General features: G+C 44.4%; 1 long non-coding RNA gene and 1 pseudogene across 2 annotated transcripts; one reads left to right on the top strand and one right to left on the bottom strand.

The window, feature by feature from the left end:
* Positions 1-7365: 7365 nt before the first annotated feature.
* LOC105378239 (uncharacterized) lies at positions 7366-11201 on the bottom strand. 2 transcript variants are annotated; one of them, XR_944435.2, is made up of 4 exons: positions 11144-11201; positions 10255-10382; positions 8251-8331; positions 7366-7498 (listed from the first exon to the last, which is right to left on the bottom strand). It is a non-coding gene; the product is annotated as an uncharacterized LOC105378239 (long non-coding RNA). The 2 variants fall into 2 exon arrangements; XR_001742940.2 differs by having other exon boundaries at positions 7366-8331.
* On the top strand, positions 14592-15781 carry RPL6P32 (ribosomal protein L6 pseudogene 32; annotated as a pseudogene).

Genomic DNA, 16326 nt, shown 5'->3' with positions numbered 1-16326 from the left:
GAGAAAGACAGAAGAGGAGGAATGTCTGAACACAGAGAGGAGTTTGGCTGGGGGTGGTCAGAAAGAGGTTCAGGCACTGGATGGCCAGGCTCCAGGGGAAGATCATATTACCGCTCCATCCCCTCTTCCAGCTCCCCATCCATCCTGCTGAGAGCCACCTCCACCACTCATAAAACACCCACATTCATCCTTCCAGGCTGTGTGTGACCCAATTTTTCCAGGACACTGGACAAGAGTTCAGGATACAGGAAGCTGTCACACTAGCCCTCTGCCCTTGCAGAAAGGCAGAGGGTCCACTGAGATGGTTAACACTCAAGCTGTCTACAAATGGGAAGGCTGAAAGGGCACACTGTAATACACGCCCACTTGGGCTCCTGCACTTGTCTGTCTGTGTGCTCCTCCTCCCGTAAGGGGTTTCAGCAGTGGTGGCGACTGAACAGGTGAGCCACACCTCTGTCACATGTCCTGTGAGGGGTATCAGTGAACTCTCCCATTTAAAAACACTACTCTCAGAGGCCTTGCTAATCGCCAACCTCTGTGCCACACAGAGACAGCAGCCTGCTATACTGGGCTCCCTGGATCCCCTTCACAAACTTCTGTTGTAATATTAATAATTACCTTGCTACATTGCAGTAATGTGTTTGTGTCTGTCTTCCCCACTCAGCTATAAATTTCTAGAGGCCAAGGACTGTGTTTAGTTCATCTTTGTATCCCTTAGTTCATAATAAATGCTCAATTCAGTTTTCATAAATGGATGAAAAAGAGGATGGATGGAAGAAAGGAAGGATGGATAAAAAAGAAGGAAGGAAGGAAGGAAGGAAGCAAGGAAGGAAGCAAGGAAGGAGTGACAGTGATGGACCACATTGCTTCTGACTTTCTGATTTCTAAGAAGGAAGAAAAACAAGGTAATTCCAGCAGAGGCGGCTTAATTCCCTCTTGTCCAATTTTTGTACAACCTCTTCACACACCATCCGTGGCATTTTCCTTATCTTACAAATACCGGAGGACACTAGCCTTCACAGAAATTATCTTGGCTCCTTGCCAGAAAACAAACAAGCCTGAGAATAAAGAAAAATAAATAAATAACAACAGTGATGTTTAGCACTTTGAGGTCTGGGAAATGAATTCCGAATGGGAGCTGAACTCAAAACCAAATGTTTGGCTTTCGGGGACAACCTACTACTTGGCTGAAAGCCTCAGCCCCCTCCTGAGACCACTTAGCAAATGTCGGCCCAGAGCTCTTCCTGCGAGCTGCTGTCTATCCCACCCCTTTCTCAGGCCTGGAAGAAATTACTGCCAAGAAAAAACAATCAAACCTTCTACCTACTACTTCAAGGTTGCTTGTGGTTGATCTTTTCCTACCTTGGGAACTTTCCAAATGGTTCTTTAGGAATTCGGTTGTGTTTGAAAAAGGTTTACTCAAAGCAGATTAACATCTGATTCACTCACATGCGCACACACGGTCTCACATACAAAAGCTCAGATTTTTAACCTGGCACATCCTTGCCATTCTGATTCCACAGGAATTGATGTCTGACAACATGTGGGTGCTTATGTGCCCTGAGCCTGGGGACAAGGTGAGCTTCCAGAGAGTGGATGAAATTGAGAAGTGGGAGTAGCTGTGGGGGCAATGAGGGATGCTAGGAAAGGTCGCTGGGGAAAATGCAGAAAGCAAAAGAGAACACTTCCCATGCACCTGACTCAGCTAGCCTAATTTCCTGGGAAATTTTTAATAGTGCTGCTACTTGACAAGATCATGGGATTATTTATCTGCTCCCTTTTCCTCTTTAAAAACTTCTCAACCCACCCACTAAAAAGACAGAGCCAAGGCTTTAAGTTCTCCTTTCCAGAGCTACAATATTTGGGCTTTGCCCTTTTCCTTCCACTGATATCCTCAGTAGCAAGGTATCTGTACCAACACAGGCAGGTCTACCTTCCTGATTACCATGGTAAGCTCTTGTTACAGTCTGAGAAAGCATCAACCCCAAACCAGAGGCAACCAGGAAAATAGCCGGTTACAGCGCTTAAAGGAGGAGCAGTGTTATCAACCAGAGGTACATAGGTTCCGGAGCCATACTGACCCAAGCTCGACTGCACAAACGCCTTCTCCTCTCTGAGCCTGAGTTCTTCATCTGTAAAACAGGGATATGGTTTGTCTTAAAGGATGAATTTCGAAGATTAAATTCAATGATAATGACAGGTACTATAATCAAGTAAGTGCTTAACAAATGTTTGTTGAATATTTTTTTAAAAAACGAATGCCCTGGTAGCGTGATGCCTCCAGCTTTGTTCTTTCGGCTTAGGATTGACTTGGCGATGTGGGCTCTTTTTTGGTTCCATATGAACTTTAAAGTAGTTTTTCCAATTCTGTGAAGAAAGTCATTGGTAGCTTGATGGGGATGGCATTGAATCTGTAAATTACCTTGGGCAGTATGGCCATTTTCACGATATTGATTCTTCCTACCCATGAGCATGGAATGCTCTTCCATTTGTTTGTATCCTCTTTTATTTCCTTGAGCAGTGGTTTGTAGTTCTCCTTGAAGAGGTCCTTCACGTCCCTTGTAAGTTGGTGGATTCCTAGGTATTTTATTCTCTTTGAAGCAATTGTGAATGGGAGTTCACTCATGATTTGGCTCTCTGTTTGTCTGTTGTTGGTATATAAGAATGCTTGTGATTTTTGTACATTGATTTTGTATCCTGAGACTTTGCTGAAGTTGTTTATCAGCTTAAGGAGATTTTGGGCTGAGACAATGGGGATTTCTAGATATACAGTCATGTCATCTGCAAACAGGGACAATTTGACTTCCTCTTCTCCTAATTAAATACCCTTTATTTCCTTCTCCTGCCTGATTGCCCTGGCCAGAACTTCCAACACTATGTTGAATAGGAGTGGTGAGAGAGGGCATCCCTGTCTTGTGCCAGTTTTCAAAGGGAAAGCTTCCAGTTTTTGCCTATTCAGTATGATATTGGCTGTGGGTTTGTCATAGATAGCTCTTATTATTTTGAGATACGTCCCATCAATACCTAATTTATTGAGAGTTTTTAGCATGAAGGGTTGTTGAATTTTGTCAAAGGCCTTTTCCGCATCTATTGAGATAATCATGTGGTTTTTGTCTTTGGTTCTGTTTATATGCTGGATTACATTTATTGATTTGCGTATATTGAAATAGCCTTGCATCCCAGGGATGAAGCCACTTGATCATGGTGGATAAGCTTTTTGATGTGCTGCTGATTTCGGTTTGCCAGTATTTTATTGAGGATTTTTGCATCAATGTTCATCAAGGATATTGGTCTAAAATTCTCTTTTTTGGTTGTGTCTCTGCCTGGCTTTGGTATCAGGATGATGCTGGCCTCATAAAATGAGTTAGCTACAGTAACCAAAACAGCATGGTACTGGTACCAAAACAGAGATATAGACCAATGGAACAGAACAGAGCCCTCAGAAATAATGCCACATATCTACAACTATCTGATCTTTGACAAACCTGAGAAAAACAAGCAATGGGGAAAGGATTCCCTATTTAATAAATGGTGCTGGGAAAACTAGCTAGCCATATATAGAAAGCTGAAACTGGATCCCTTCCTTACACCTTATACAAAAATCAGTTCAAGACGGATTAAAGACTTAAACGTCAGACCTAAAACCATAAAAACCCTAGAAGAAAACCTAGGCATTACCATTCAGGACATAGGCATGGGCAAGGGCTTCATGTCTAAAACACCAAAAGCAATGGCAACAAAAGCCAAAATTGACAAATGGGATCTAATTAAACTAAAGAGCTTCTGCACAGCAAAAGAAACTATCATCAGAGTGAACAGGCAACCTACAAAATGGGAGAAAATTTTCGCAACCTACTCATCTGACAAAGGGCTAATATCCAGAATCTACAATGAACTCCAACAAATTTACAAGAAAAAAAACAAACAACCCCATCAAAAAGTGGGCGAAGGACATGAACAGACACTTCTCAAAAGAAGACATTTATGCAGCCAAAAAACACATGAAAAAATGCTCACCATCACTGGCCATCAGAGAAATGCAAATCAAAACCACAATGAGATACCATCTCACTCCAGCTAGAATGGCAATCATTAAAATGTCAGGAAACAACAGGTGCTGGAGAGGATGTGGAGAAATAGGAACACTTTTACACTGTTGGTGGGACTGTAAACTAGTTCAACCATTGGGAAGTCCGTGTGGCGATTCCTCAGGGATCTAGAACTAGAAATACCATTTGACCCAGCCATCCCATTACTGGGTATATACCCAAAGGACTATAAATCATGCTGCTATAAAGACACATGCACACGTATGTTTATTGCGGCATTACTCACAATAGCAAAGACTTGGAACCAACCCAAATGTCCAACAATGATAGACTGGATTAAGAAAATGTGGCACATATACACCATGGAATACTATGCAGCCATAAAAATGATGAGTTCATGTCCTTTGTAGGGACATGGATGAAATTGGAAATCATCATTCTCAGTAAACATCGCAAGAACAAAAAACCAAACACCGCATATTCTCACTTATAGGTAGGAATTGAACAATGAGAACACATGGACACAGGAAGGGGAACATCACACTCTGGGGACTGTTGTGGGGTGGGGGGAAGGGGGAGGGATAGCATTGGGAGATATACCTAATGCTAGATGACGAGTTCGTGGGTGTAGCACACCAGCATGGCACATGTATACATATGTAACTAACCTGTACATTGTGCACATGTACCCTAAAACTTAAAGTATAACAATAATAAACAAAATTAAAAAAATAAAATAAAATAAAATAAAAGTTAAATCATAAAAAAAAAAAAAAAAAAGGAATGCCCTGTTCTGACCCCAGTTAAGGAAATACAGGCAGATCTGGGACTCCCTCCAAGAGGTGCTTGCTCAGCCCCTGACTTCCATAAGAAACTCCTTCTTACCCCTGCCCCTCAAGCCCTAGGACACAGACTCTGGGCCTATGGTCAGAGGCATAGAAGGGCAGGCAGGGCCAGGCGCAGTGGCTCACGCCTGTAATCCCAGCACTTTGGGAGGCTGAGGTGGGCAGATCGCAAGGTCAAGAGTTCAAGACCAGCCTGGCCAATATGGTGAAGCCCCGTCTCTACCAAAAATACAAAAATTAGCTGCACGTGGTGGCGGGCACCTGTAATCCCAGCTACTCAGAAGGCTGAGGCGGGAGAATCGCTTGAACCTGGGAGGCGGGGGCTGCAGTGAGCAAAGATCATGCCACTGCATTCCAGTCTGGGCAACAGAGAAAAAAAAAAAAGGACAGGCGGTAGAAACAGTCAGCCCTATGTGCAGGCAATAAAGGGGTGCATGGGCATGGCCTTTGGAGAATTTAAAAACAATAAGAGTCAGTCTGATTTTATTATCAGCCTGCACCAGCAATTCCAAATAATGTCAGTGATAAACTACTCTTTTATACTCCCACCACCCATGCTTGCTATGCCACTGTCTGTTGTATCAAAAGATTATGTCCCCTGTCCTGACTGAGTCCCTGCCTGGCCTCAGAGTCTACCTGGGGGTTCCAGAAGCCAAGCCCCTGGACTCTTCCAGCAACCAGATGTGCACTTAGATCATTGTCTGTGCCTACATATCCTGAGAATTCCTTAAACTTGTTGGCCCAAACTCTCTTGAGATGAACACAGTGTGAGGAAAAGAGGAAAAATTACTTTAAGTCATAAATGTCTAAACAGGCCCAGACCAGAATAATGGGTCCAATTTATCAGACAGAACCTTTCCTTTCCTCTTTCACTGTCCCTTGTTTGGTGTTGCTCAATAGTCCTATTTCCTTGAAAATTGAAGCTTCACCTTTAGGAGGCCTATGGCCTCTATTTGGTTTTTATATGCAATAGAAATTTTAAAAATTCAGAGCCAGGGAGCTCAGCACCCCCTCAGATGCTCCCTTGTCTCAATTTCTCTTACTCCTGGAAGCTCATTTTGTCCCTGGGATGAGTTAAATCCTTATAAATGAGGAAACTGATGCTCAGAGAAGGAAAGGGACCAGCCCAAAGTCATACAGCAAGTGAGTGGAAAAAGGGGAAATGCACCTATCCGAGGCATTCTGAGGAGCGAAGCAGTGCACATAAAATGCTGAGCCATGTGCTGGCACATAGTAAGCAATTGATGAGCATTAACTGCTACTTTTGTGTAGTTGTGTGCTATTACTGTTAAACAAGACTAGACCCACATCTCCAGGCTTTAGGGCAGCCTCTTCCCAGTACCTTGCTTGGTGTCAAGCACAGTGTAGGAGCTCATTAAACATCTGTCGAATAAATAAATTAGCTCTATTCCTGCTCAGTGACCATCCAACCTCTGTGTAAACATCCCCAGTCTGAGACACTGCCTCCTTCCTTTAAAGATACCCCATCCCATCCCTGGGCCCATCCATTAACAGATCTACTTCATAATGAGTCAATTTTTAAAAATCTCTCTTCATCCCTTGTGCCCATTGGTTAGTCCTAGATTTAATCTCCCTAGCATTGAGCCTTCTACAAAAAGATTTTGATGTTAAATCAGAACATGTTGGTTCCTGGATAGAAACCATCCAATTAACCTCACTGGGTGGTAAAATATATATATATATATTTCATCAGTCATTCACCTCAAGAAAGAAAAGGTCGGTTTTATCTTAATAACAAAGAGGACACTTTAATCATGGCAAATCTGCTGAATAAATCAAAACAACAAGTTTGCAAGAGGCAACTGCCCTCTATTAGGTAAATTAAGACAAGCATCTCAACAGGCACCCATTACCCTGACAGGAGCAGAGAGGAAGTCTTGTCTCTGTCAATCTTCCCTCTGGAAAGACAGTATTGATTAAATGCTGACACATATTTGTGTCTGAAGAGCAGGAAAGAACAACAAACCAAAGGGATGCGTCAGGCATCACCTTTCCACTCAACAGCACACGTAACAATTACCACCTCACAGTTTTATACAGTTCTTTTTGCACTCTTTTAAAAAATGCTCATCAGTAATCCCAGCACTTTGGGAGGCCGAGGCACGCGGACTACCCGAGGTCAGGAATTCAAGACCAGCCTGGACAACACGGCGAAACCCCATCTCTACTTAAAAAAATATAAAAATTAGCCGGGCGTGGTAGCACACGCCTGTAATCCCAGCTACTTGGGAGGCTGAGGCATGAGAATTGCTTGAACCCAGGAGGCGGAGGTTGCAGTGAGCTGAGACCACATCATTGCACTTCAGCCTGGGCGACAGAGCGAGACCCTGTCTCAAAAAATAAAAACAAAAAATGCTCATCAGTTTATTTCACCTTCATGGAAATCTTATGATGTAAGTAAAGAAAGTGCTCGATTTTACAGATGAGGAAGTAAGACAGAGAGTGGCCAGTCACGGGACAAGCCAACCATTTATTCCTCCATGTGGCAAATTATGATTGCATCCTGACTCCATGCCAGGCATTGGGCTAGGCTCCGCAGATGTGATGGTGAGCAAAACAGACACATTCTCTGCTTCCACATCCCTTAAAATAGAGAGGGGGAAAACAGATGGTTAAACAAACATATCAGATAAGTGATAGGATAGAGAAAGCAGGGTAGGAGGAGCATCAAACCTAGCCCAGGATGGGTCATGAAGGGTGAATAGGATGCCGCCAAGCAGAGACTTTGACCCTAAGGCGGTAGACGAAGTCAGCCCTATGTACAGGCAATAAAGGGGTGCATGGGCATGGCCTTTGGAGAATTTAAAAACAATAAGAGTCAGTCTGATTGTATTATCAGCATGCACCAGAAATTCCAAATAATGTCAGTGATAAAATACTAAGAGGGCCAGCTTAAATGGGAGAACTTGGATGTAAGGCAGTAGACTGTGCTGAGAACCATCATACCAGCAAAGCATGCATGCACACACACACATTCCTACGCACGCACACACACACAAGCACACAATCACAGCAAGGTATAGGAGGCCTCCAAACAAGGGGATGAGAAACAGAATGGTAAATCCAAATGCTTTCAGATGTTGAAGGCTCCTGGGGCTTCAGAACTTCCTGGAATTCCATGGTGTAAGAGTTGAGATGTAATGAGATGTGACCACTACATTGTAAGGTAACTGGCAAATCCAGAAGCCAGGCTCCTCGTTATGACCATCTGGTTTGCCAGAGAGAATAAATACTCAACATAAGTCACAAGATCTCCCTGGCAGTCCCTCTGCCAGTACAATAGCCAGGGCAAGCCAGAGTTGAAGGGGCTTCACAGAGTTGAAGGGGCATCTCACCAGACTGACATGAAGAGAAAAAGAGCATTTATCTCCAAACTTCCTCTTTCAACGTAAGCCTCTGAGCTGAAAGCGATATACCTAGGCCAGGAAGAAGAGAATGACAGACATTAGGGAAAGAGAAGGTACTTCACAATTCTAACACTGTTGCTGTGAATTGATTTTTCAAAGCATACAAATGGGAAATGCCTCTAATTTAAGGCATGAGGAATTGGCCCATGTGATTATGGAGGCTGAGAAGTCCCACGATCTGTTGTCTGCAAGCTGGAGACCCAGGCAAGCCAGTGGTGTAGTCCCAGTCTGAGTCTGAAGGCCTGAGAACCAGGGGGACCCGTGGTGTAAATCTCAGTCCAAGGGCAGAATAAGACCAAGATCCCACTTCATGCAGCAGGCAGGAAGGGGCCAAATCCCTCCTTCCTCTGCTTTTTCTTCTATTCAGGCCCTCAGCTGATTGGAGGGTGCCCATCCACATTGGGAAAGGCAATCTATTTCATGGAGTTCACCAATTCAAATGCCAGTCTCATCTGGAAATAGACATATCCTTGCAGACACATCTAGAAGTAATGTTTAAACTGGACACCCTGTGACCCAATCAAGTTGACGTATTAAAATTAACCATCACAGGCCGGGGCGTGGTGGCTCACACCTATAATCCCAGCACTTTGGGAGGCCAAGACAGGTGGATCACTTGAGGTCAGGAGTTCAAGACCAGCCTGGCCAACATGGCAAAATCCCATCTCTACAAAAAGTAGCCGCACATGGTGGCGCACGCCTGCAATCCCAACTACTCAGGAGGCTAAGGCAGGAGAATCGCTTGAACCCGGGAGGTGGAGGGTGCAGTGAGCCAAGATCATGCCACCACACTCCAGCCTGGATGACAGAACAAGACTCTGTCTCGAAAATAAGATTAAATTAAATTAAATTAAATTAACCATCACAGTGAGATTAATGGTTTTTTGTGAACTATGGCTTTTGAAATAGGTTTCGTGTGAATATTTTATTGCCACTTTCATTCCTTTACAGCAGAGGGGATCCATAGTACAAATGAACCCAGCTTTTTGTCCTGTTTGGCTCCTCACACCTCTGACTCCCTCTCAGTCGTCTTCTTTCTATTCTCAACTTTGACTTCTCTTCTGTAATCACTTTCTCCCAGCTCTGAGCCCTAAACTCATTTGTTTTCCAGATCCATAAAATGCTTTGCCTTTCTTTCCTCAGTCAACAAAATTTATTAAAGTTATTTTGTTATAAGTTGGCTACTCCAGCGTCCCTTCTCCAGCTGACATAAATTCCTAACACAACTCTTCTGTGCTTCATTACCGCGAGCAGGGAGTAGCTTTTATGACATTGCTATAGGTGCACAAACGTGGCTGGGTAGCTCCGAAATAGAAAGATATTAAAAGCTCTAGCCACAATGCTCTGAGCCAGACTCCCACTCAATCAGGAAAATAAAGTTTCTCTTGCGCCCCATGGGAACTCTAAGATTACAATTGATACGGTTCTACTCTTTACATTGTTGAAAATATTTATTGTCAGCGTGTGGTCTGGGGCCTCTGGTGGCCCATAATAAGCCTTTATTGATTCATTTAACAAGTATGGAGCAACTGCTATTTAGAAGCTCCACCTTCAGTTCCTTGGTATGAAAACTATTTTCATTCCACATATCACCGTCTAAAATCTTTCTACCTTTGTTCGTTCTGTCTCTCCCAACAAAATATATGGTCCATGAAAACACGGACCCAGTTTTGTCCAACACTGTATCCCAGTGCTAAATGCAATGTCTGATGCACAGCAGATACTAGGCAAATACTCACTGGATGACCGGATTGTGATGAGGCAAATTCACTGTAAGGACTTCTCATTCCACTCTAGGATTTTAGAAATGGAACAGCTTTTTTATGTCCTTGTGTTCGTAATACAATTAGGACTGGCTTTTCTCTCACACAAAAATCTTTTTTTTTTCCCTCCCATACCAGGCATTTTATCATTTGGATCTCAAACAAGTACCTCTCTTCCCAGCCTCTACGAAGGGAATTTGGTCGAACACACATTGGAGGTCAAGGTCCAAGTTGTCGTTGGTGAGGTAGCAGAATTTAACACGCTAGGAAAGTTTTAATACTTCTTTCTGAAGATGCCTGGGACACATAATTGAATTAAAATATATTTAATACTTGCTCTACGCCAAGTATCTGGGAAGCCTAGTAAGAAATAAACACCTTCAAACAGAATAGCACCACTTACTGGTTTATTGTGTTGGGTGTGCATAAGGATTTTGTCTGAGGGGGAAAACGGAGTTTCTCAGATTTTAAGAAAAAAAAAACAGGAAAACCACTCTCCTAGATAATATTTAAGTTCCTTTCATCTCTGACCTTTTTCAGTCTCTCCTTTCTGTGTAGGACTTCACACTCCCTTTTCCCTAAACCCCTCACATTTATAAAATAAATAGATTTATAATGGAGCTCTGAGTCTTACATAAATCTATAAGCTGTCCAGTTATCCTTCCATTTGGAAAACGGCAATATAACAATATATTATACAGATTTCTGGGCTTTCAAATCTTTTTCAACCTTTATAACAGTCTTTTAAATTTTGTATGAGAGACTAAATTTCCTCTAAATTAGCATTTGAGAAAACTGGGATGGTGATGTTTGTCCAAAATCATATAGCATGCTGCGTCCCGAATTGGTGGGTTCGGGGTCTCACTGGCTTCAGAAGTGAAGCTGCAGACCTTCGCAGTGAGTGTTACAGCTCCTAAGGCAGCACGTCTGGAGTTGTTCCTTCCTCCAGGTGGGTTCGTGGCCTCACTGATCTACAGGAGTGAAACTGCAAATCTTCGAGTTGAGTGTTACAGCTCATAAACGCAGTGCCAACCCAAAGAGTGGGCAGCAAGACTTACAAGAAAGAGTGAAAGAACAAAGCTTCCACAGAACAGACAGGGACCAAGGAGGGTTGCCACGGCGGGCTCTGGCAGCCTGCTTTTATTCCCTTATCTGGCCCCACCCACATCCTGCTGATTGGTCCATTTTGCAGAGAGCTGATTGGTCTGTTTTACAGAAAGCTGATTGGTCCGTTTTGACAGGGTGCTGATTGGTGCGTTTACAATCCCTGAGCTAGACACAAAAGTTCTCCAAGTCTCCACTAGATTAGCTAGACACAGAGCGTTGATTGGTGCATTTACAAACGTTGAGCTAGACACAGAGTGCTGATTGGTATATTTACAATCCCTTAGCTAGACATAAAAGTTCTCCAAGTCCCCACCAGATTAGCCAGATACAGAGTGCTGATTGGTGCATTCACAAACCTTGAGCTAGACACAGAGTGCTGACTGATGCATTTACAAACCTTGAGTTAGACACAGAGTGCTGATTGGTGTATCTACAATCCCTTTGCTAGACATAAAGGTTCTCCAAATCCCCACTAGACTCAGGAGCCCAGCTGGCTTCACCTACTGGATCCTGCGCCAAGGCCGCAGGCAGAGCTGCCCACCAGTCCCGCACCGTGTGCCCGCACTCCTCAGCTCTTGGGCAGGACCCGACGCTGGGGAGCAGGGAGCAGCACTGGTCGGGGAGGCTCCAGCTGCACAGGAGCCCAGAGTGGAGGAGGGGAGGCTTGGGCATGGTGGGCTGCAGGTCCCAAGCCCTGCCCGCAGGGAGGCAGCTGAGGCCCGGGGAGAATTAGAGAATTAGAGCACACTCTCCGCAGCTGCTGGCCCAGGTGCTAAGCCCCTCACTGCCCAGAGCCGGGGGCGCGGCGGCCACCGATCGGAGTGCAGGGCCCGCCCAGCCCACGCTCACCCGGACATGCGAGCCATGCGGGCAGCCCCGGTTCCGCCTGCATCTCTCCCTCCACACCTCCCCGCAAGCAGAGGGAGCCGGCTCCGGCCTCAGCCAGCCCAGAGAGGGGCTCCCACAGTGGCGGGCTGAAGGGCTCCTCAAGCACCTCCAGAGTGGGTGGGCACGGAGGCCGAGGAGGTGCCGAAAGCGAGCGAGGGCTGCAAGGGGTGCCAGCAGGCCATCACCTCTCAATGCTATGGCTAAACCAAGACCAGACCCAATTCCTAATCTTGGGTTCTTTGCACTGGTTGAGGATGGCAAAATAAATGATATTCAGGCCAGTACTCTTTATCTCCAACCCATGGCAGGCATTACTAATCAATCACTGCCCTCCTTCGCACTGTGCCTAGAGGCAACTTTTTAGAAGCCCTTTCAACACAGTGTTCCAGGTAGCCACTACCAATCAATTTCAGGTTGAAATCTGAGACTTGAAACCTATTTGCCTTCCCTGCACTAGCCAAGTTCTCTCTGTAAATTAGGAGGCCTGTGGTGCCAAGCAATACAGAAGTTAAAACTGCTACTTGCAGAAGGAGGATGAGTATGAGAGGAATACAAGGAAGGTGAGTTAGTAGGACAGAGACAGGATGAATGTTGAGTTTTTACATTCTATAGTTTCCTGAACGTCTTAAGACCTGGGTTTAATTTTGCTGTAGATGCTGTAGGAAGTAAGGATGAATCATTGTCACCACCATGAAATATTTAACTGTTATGTGCAAATGATTGTTAATTACATTCTCTGCCTCCATTAAAGAGGTAAATGACTATTTCAACTTCTCCCTGGGTGGCCACTGTGTACATATTCCATCCCTAATTCTTCCATGAAAACATTTAAATGGTGCTTTTAACAACCAACCCAGCTTTAAACGCAGCAGCTTTAGAGGGGATGTGCTAACTCTGAAATAGCGTCTTACATAAACTCAAATGATCCTCAGTTATGGGAAAACAAATGTATGCACATCTCTTAGAATCTTTCTTTTTTTGCTGATTCATTCTCATTCTTAATTTAGCAAAAATGCTAAATAATAATAAAATGGATGCCTTACCTGAAAAGGTGAGTCGGCAACACCAACAGATTATTTCTTAGGCTGCATCTTTCGTATTTTCTCCCAATAAATAAAAAGAGATGCCTCTCAAATTAGCACTTAGCAGAACTAAAAACTTATTTATTATCTGCTGGATAACTGGAACAAAAATAGAAATGTGAGTTGCCCAAAGATTGATGACTTTCCCAGGATTCCAACCTAAACAAAGGTTGTTGAGATCATCTGTGTCTGAGAACGCCCCCCTTTTGAGTTCGGCAAAGAGATTCCAAAAGAACCTTCTGTAAACTAGAGATAAACATTTTCCCCAGCACTGTCTAATGGCTCTGCCTAAACTGAGCAGATGGGGCACCGGGGTGGGTCTACCCCTTGAGATCACTGAGCATTTTCCTATTTAATTGTACTTTGAAAGCAGATTGTTCTGCTCAGGCACCTGTGACCAGTAGCATTTGGGAATTTGCCCATCTTGTTTGATGGAGGTCATCCAACTTGGAGGTCACTCACTTCATCTTTCATCATGACCTCCTTCCTCCAAATGATCCTTGAAGGTAGACACCTGGTACATCCTGGACATCGGCAGGCCTTGCATTTTGACCCTGTTGGCCAGTCCTCAATCTCAAGTCTTTCTAAATTAGCCATTTATTAAGCACTATTATATGCTGAGCACTGTCCTAGAAGCTTTATGGATATCATCACACAAGAACTCTAAGTAAGAGATAAGTGCTAAAGTCATTTCCACTTTATAAATGAGGAAACTGAGGCTGAGAAAGATTAAATGATTGCTCCCAGGTCACACAGCTAGTAAGTGGGAGAGCCCCAATTAAAAGCCAGGATCCAGAGTCTTTGCACTAAGTTCAATGTAAACTTGCCACAGAGCCAACGACATTTCATTCAGACACTCAAGGAAATAATAGACATAGTAGATTCTTTTGTGATCCTTCAACCATCCATGTTGTTGTGTTGAACCAACAAAGCATTTTAATGTCAGAATCTAAAACATCAAAAAGATGGTTCTCTTACTATTACCAACAATGGCTTAAAATTGATGTCATGGGCATTTTTCTTTTAGCTACCCAGCAGATGAAATTCTTTATCACCTTTGGGGAATTCTGCTGGTCCCTAACCTTAAGCATCTTGTTAAGGAGCCTGAAAATGTGGTGCTGTCTTCTTCTCTTCTTCTTTCTTTTGAGACAGGGTCTCATTGTCACCCAGGCTGGAGTGCAGTGGCATGATCATAGCTCACTGCAGCCTTAATTTCTGGGCTCCAGTGATCCTCCCACCTCAACTCCCAAGTAGCTGGGACTATAGGCACACGCCATCACGCCCAGCTAATTTTTATATTTTTTTGTAGAGATGGAATTTCGTCATGTTGGCCAGGTTGGTCTCGAACTCCTGAGTTAAAGCGATTTGCCTGCCTCAGCCTCCCAAAGTGCTGGGATTTCAGGCATGAGCCACTGCACCCAGCTTGGTGCTTTCTCATCTTGTAAGATGGCGAGTGAAAAAGTTGAGAAGCCAGATACTAGGGAGAAGAAACCTGAATCCAAGAAGGCTGATGCTAGTGGCAACGTGACAAAGGGTAACCTCAAAGCTAAAAAGCCCAAGAAAGGGAAGCCCCACTGCAGCTGAAATCCTGTCCTCATCAGAGGAATTGGCAGATATTCCCGACCTGCTATGTGTTCCAGAAAGGCACGTACAAAAGGAAGTATTCAGCGGCTAAATCCAAGATTGAAAAGGAGAAGTTTCTTGCAACTGTTACAAAACCAGTTGGTGGTGACAAGAATGGTGGTGCCCCAGTGGTTAAACTTCACAAGATGCCTAGCTATCATCTACCGGAGATGTGTCTAAAAAGTTGTTGAGCGGCTGGGCGCAGTGGCTCACACCTGTAATCCCAGCACTTTGGGAGGCTGAGGTGGGTGGATCACCTGAAGTCAGGAGTATGAGAACAGCCTGGCCAACATGGTGAAACCCCTTCTCTACTAAAAATACAAAAATTAGCCAGGCATGGTGGTACGCACCTATAGTTCCAGCTACTTGGGAGGCTGAGGCAGGAGAATCGCTTGAACCCAGGAGGCAAGAGGTAGCAGTGAGCCGAGATCGTGCCACTGCACTCCAGCCTGGGCGACAGAGCGAGATGCTGCCTAAAAAAAAAAAAAAAACCTGTAGTCAGCATGCCAGAAAACTGCAAGCCAGCATCTCTCCCAGGACCATTCTGCTCATCCTCACTGGGCGCCACAGAGGCAAGATGGTTTTCCTGGAGCAGCTAGCTGGGCAATGGCTTTTACTTGTGACCGGACCTCTGGTCGTCAATTGAGTTTCTCTGCGAAGAACACACCAGTAATTTGTCACTGCCACCTCTACAACAATTGATATCAGTCAGCAATGTGAAAATCTCAAAACATCTTACTGATGCTTACTTCAAGAAGAAACTGCAGAAACCCAGACACCACGAAAGTGAGATCTCTGGTGCAGAAAAAGAGAAATATGAAGTGATAGAGTAGCGCCTGGTTGATCAGAAAGCTGTGGACTGGCAAATTTTACCAAAATCAAAGCTATTCCTCAGCTCCAAGGCTAACTGTGATCTCTGTTTGCCCTGACGAGTGGAATTTATCCTCACACATTGATGTTCTAAATTTCTTAAGGAGAATCTAATTAAATAACTGATACTTTTTTTAATGTAGTGCTCACCTTCCCAACCCCTCTTGAAAGCAGGGCACCCAGGACTTTGAAACAGCAGCTAGAGATGCAGAGAATAGGAGACTGCAAAGAATCCATCCTGGGGGCAGGTGATAGCAAAACAAAATCCCATTCCCAGGAGAAGTAGGGTCAGCGGTGTTCACTGTATGTAGCTAGCAGCACCTCTGCAGGCTGTGGTAATCAGGCTCAGTGGCAGGCACTGCAGGGACCCTGTCAGTCTGGTTCTGTGGCCAGGGGCTATTCACAATTCTAGCGTTGGTCCTGGTTGCCCACTCTCCTTTTGATCTTGCCCAATTCTCCAGCCTTTCAGGTCACTGTGGGGGCTGCCGAATGCCCTTTCCATACATTTCTTCTCTGCTTATATCAGTCAGTTTCTGCTGCTGCTTGCTCTAACTAGGCCAGGGAGGTGGAAGTCTAGTAGGCAAATGCCTCAGTTCTCCACAATCCCTTGCCAATCACTTCACTGAAGGGGAGCCAGGGGGACCTAATTTTAGGATAAAATTCAGATTCTA

This window comes from Homo sapiens, chromosome 5, assembly GCF_000001405.40.
Source record: "Homo sapiens chromosome 5, GRCh38.p14 Primary Assembly".
Taxonomy (NCBI): Eukaryota; Metazoa; Chordata; class Mammalia; order Primates; family Hominidae; genus Homo; species Homo sapiens.
The sequence above is the reverse complement of the archived record's forward strand: the minus strand, read 5'-3'. Positions and strand labels throughout refer to the sequence as shown.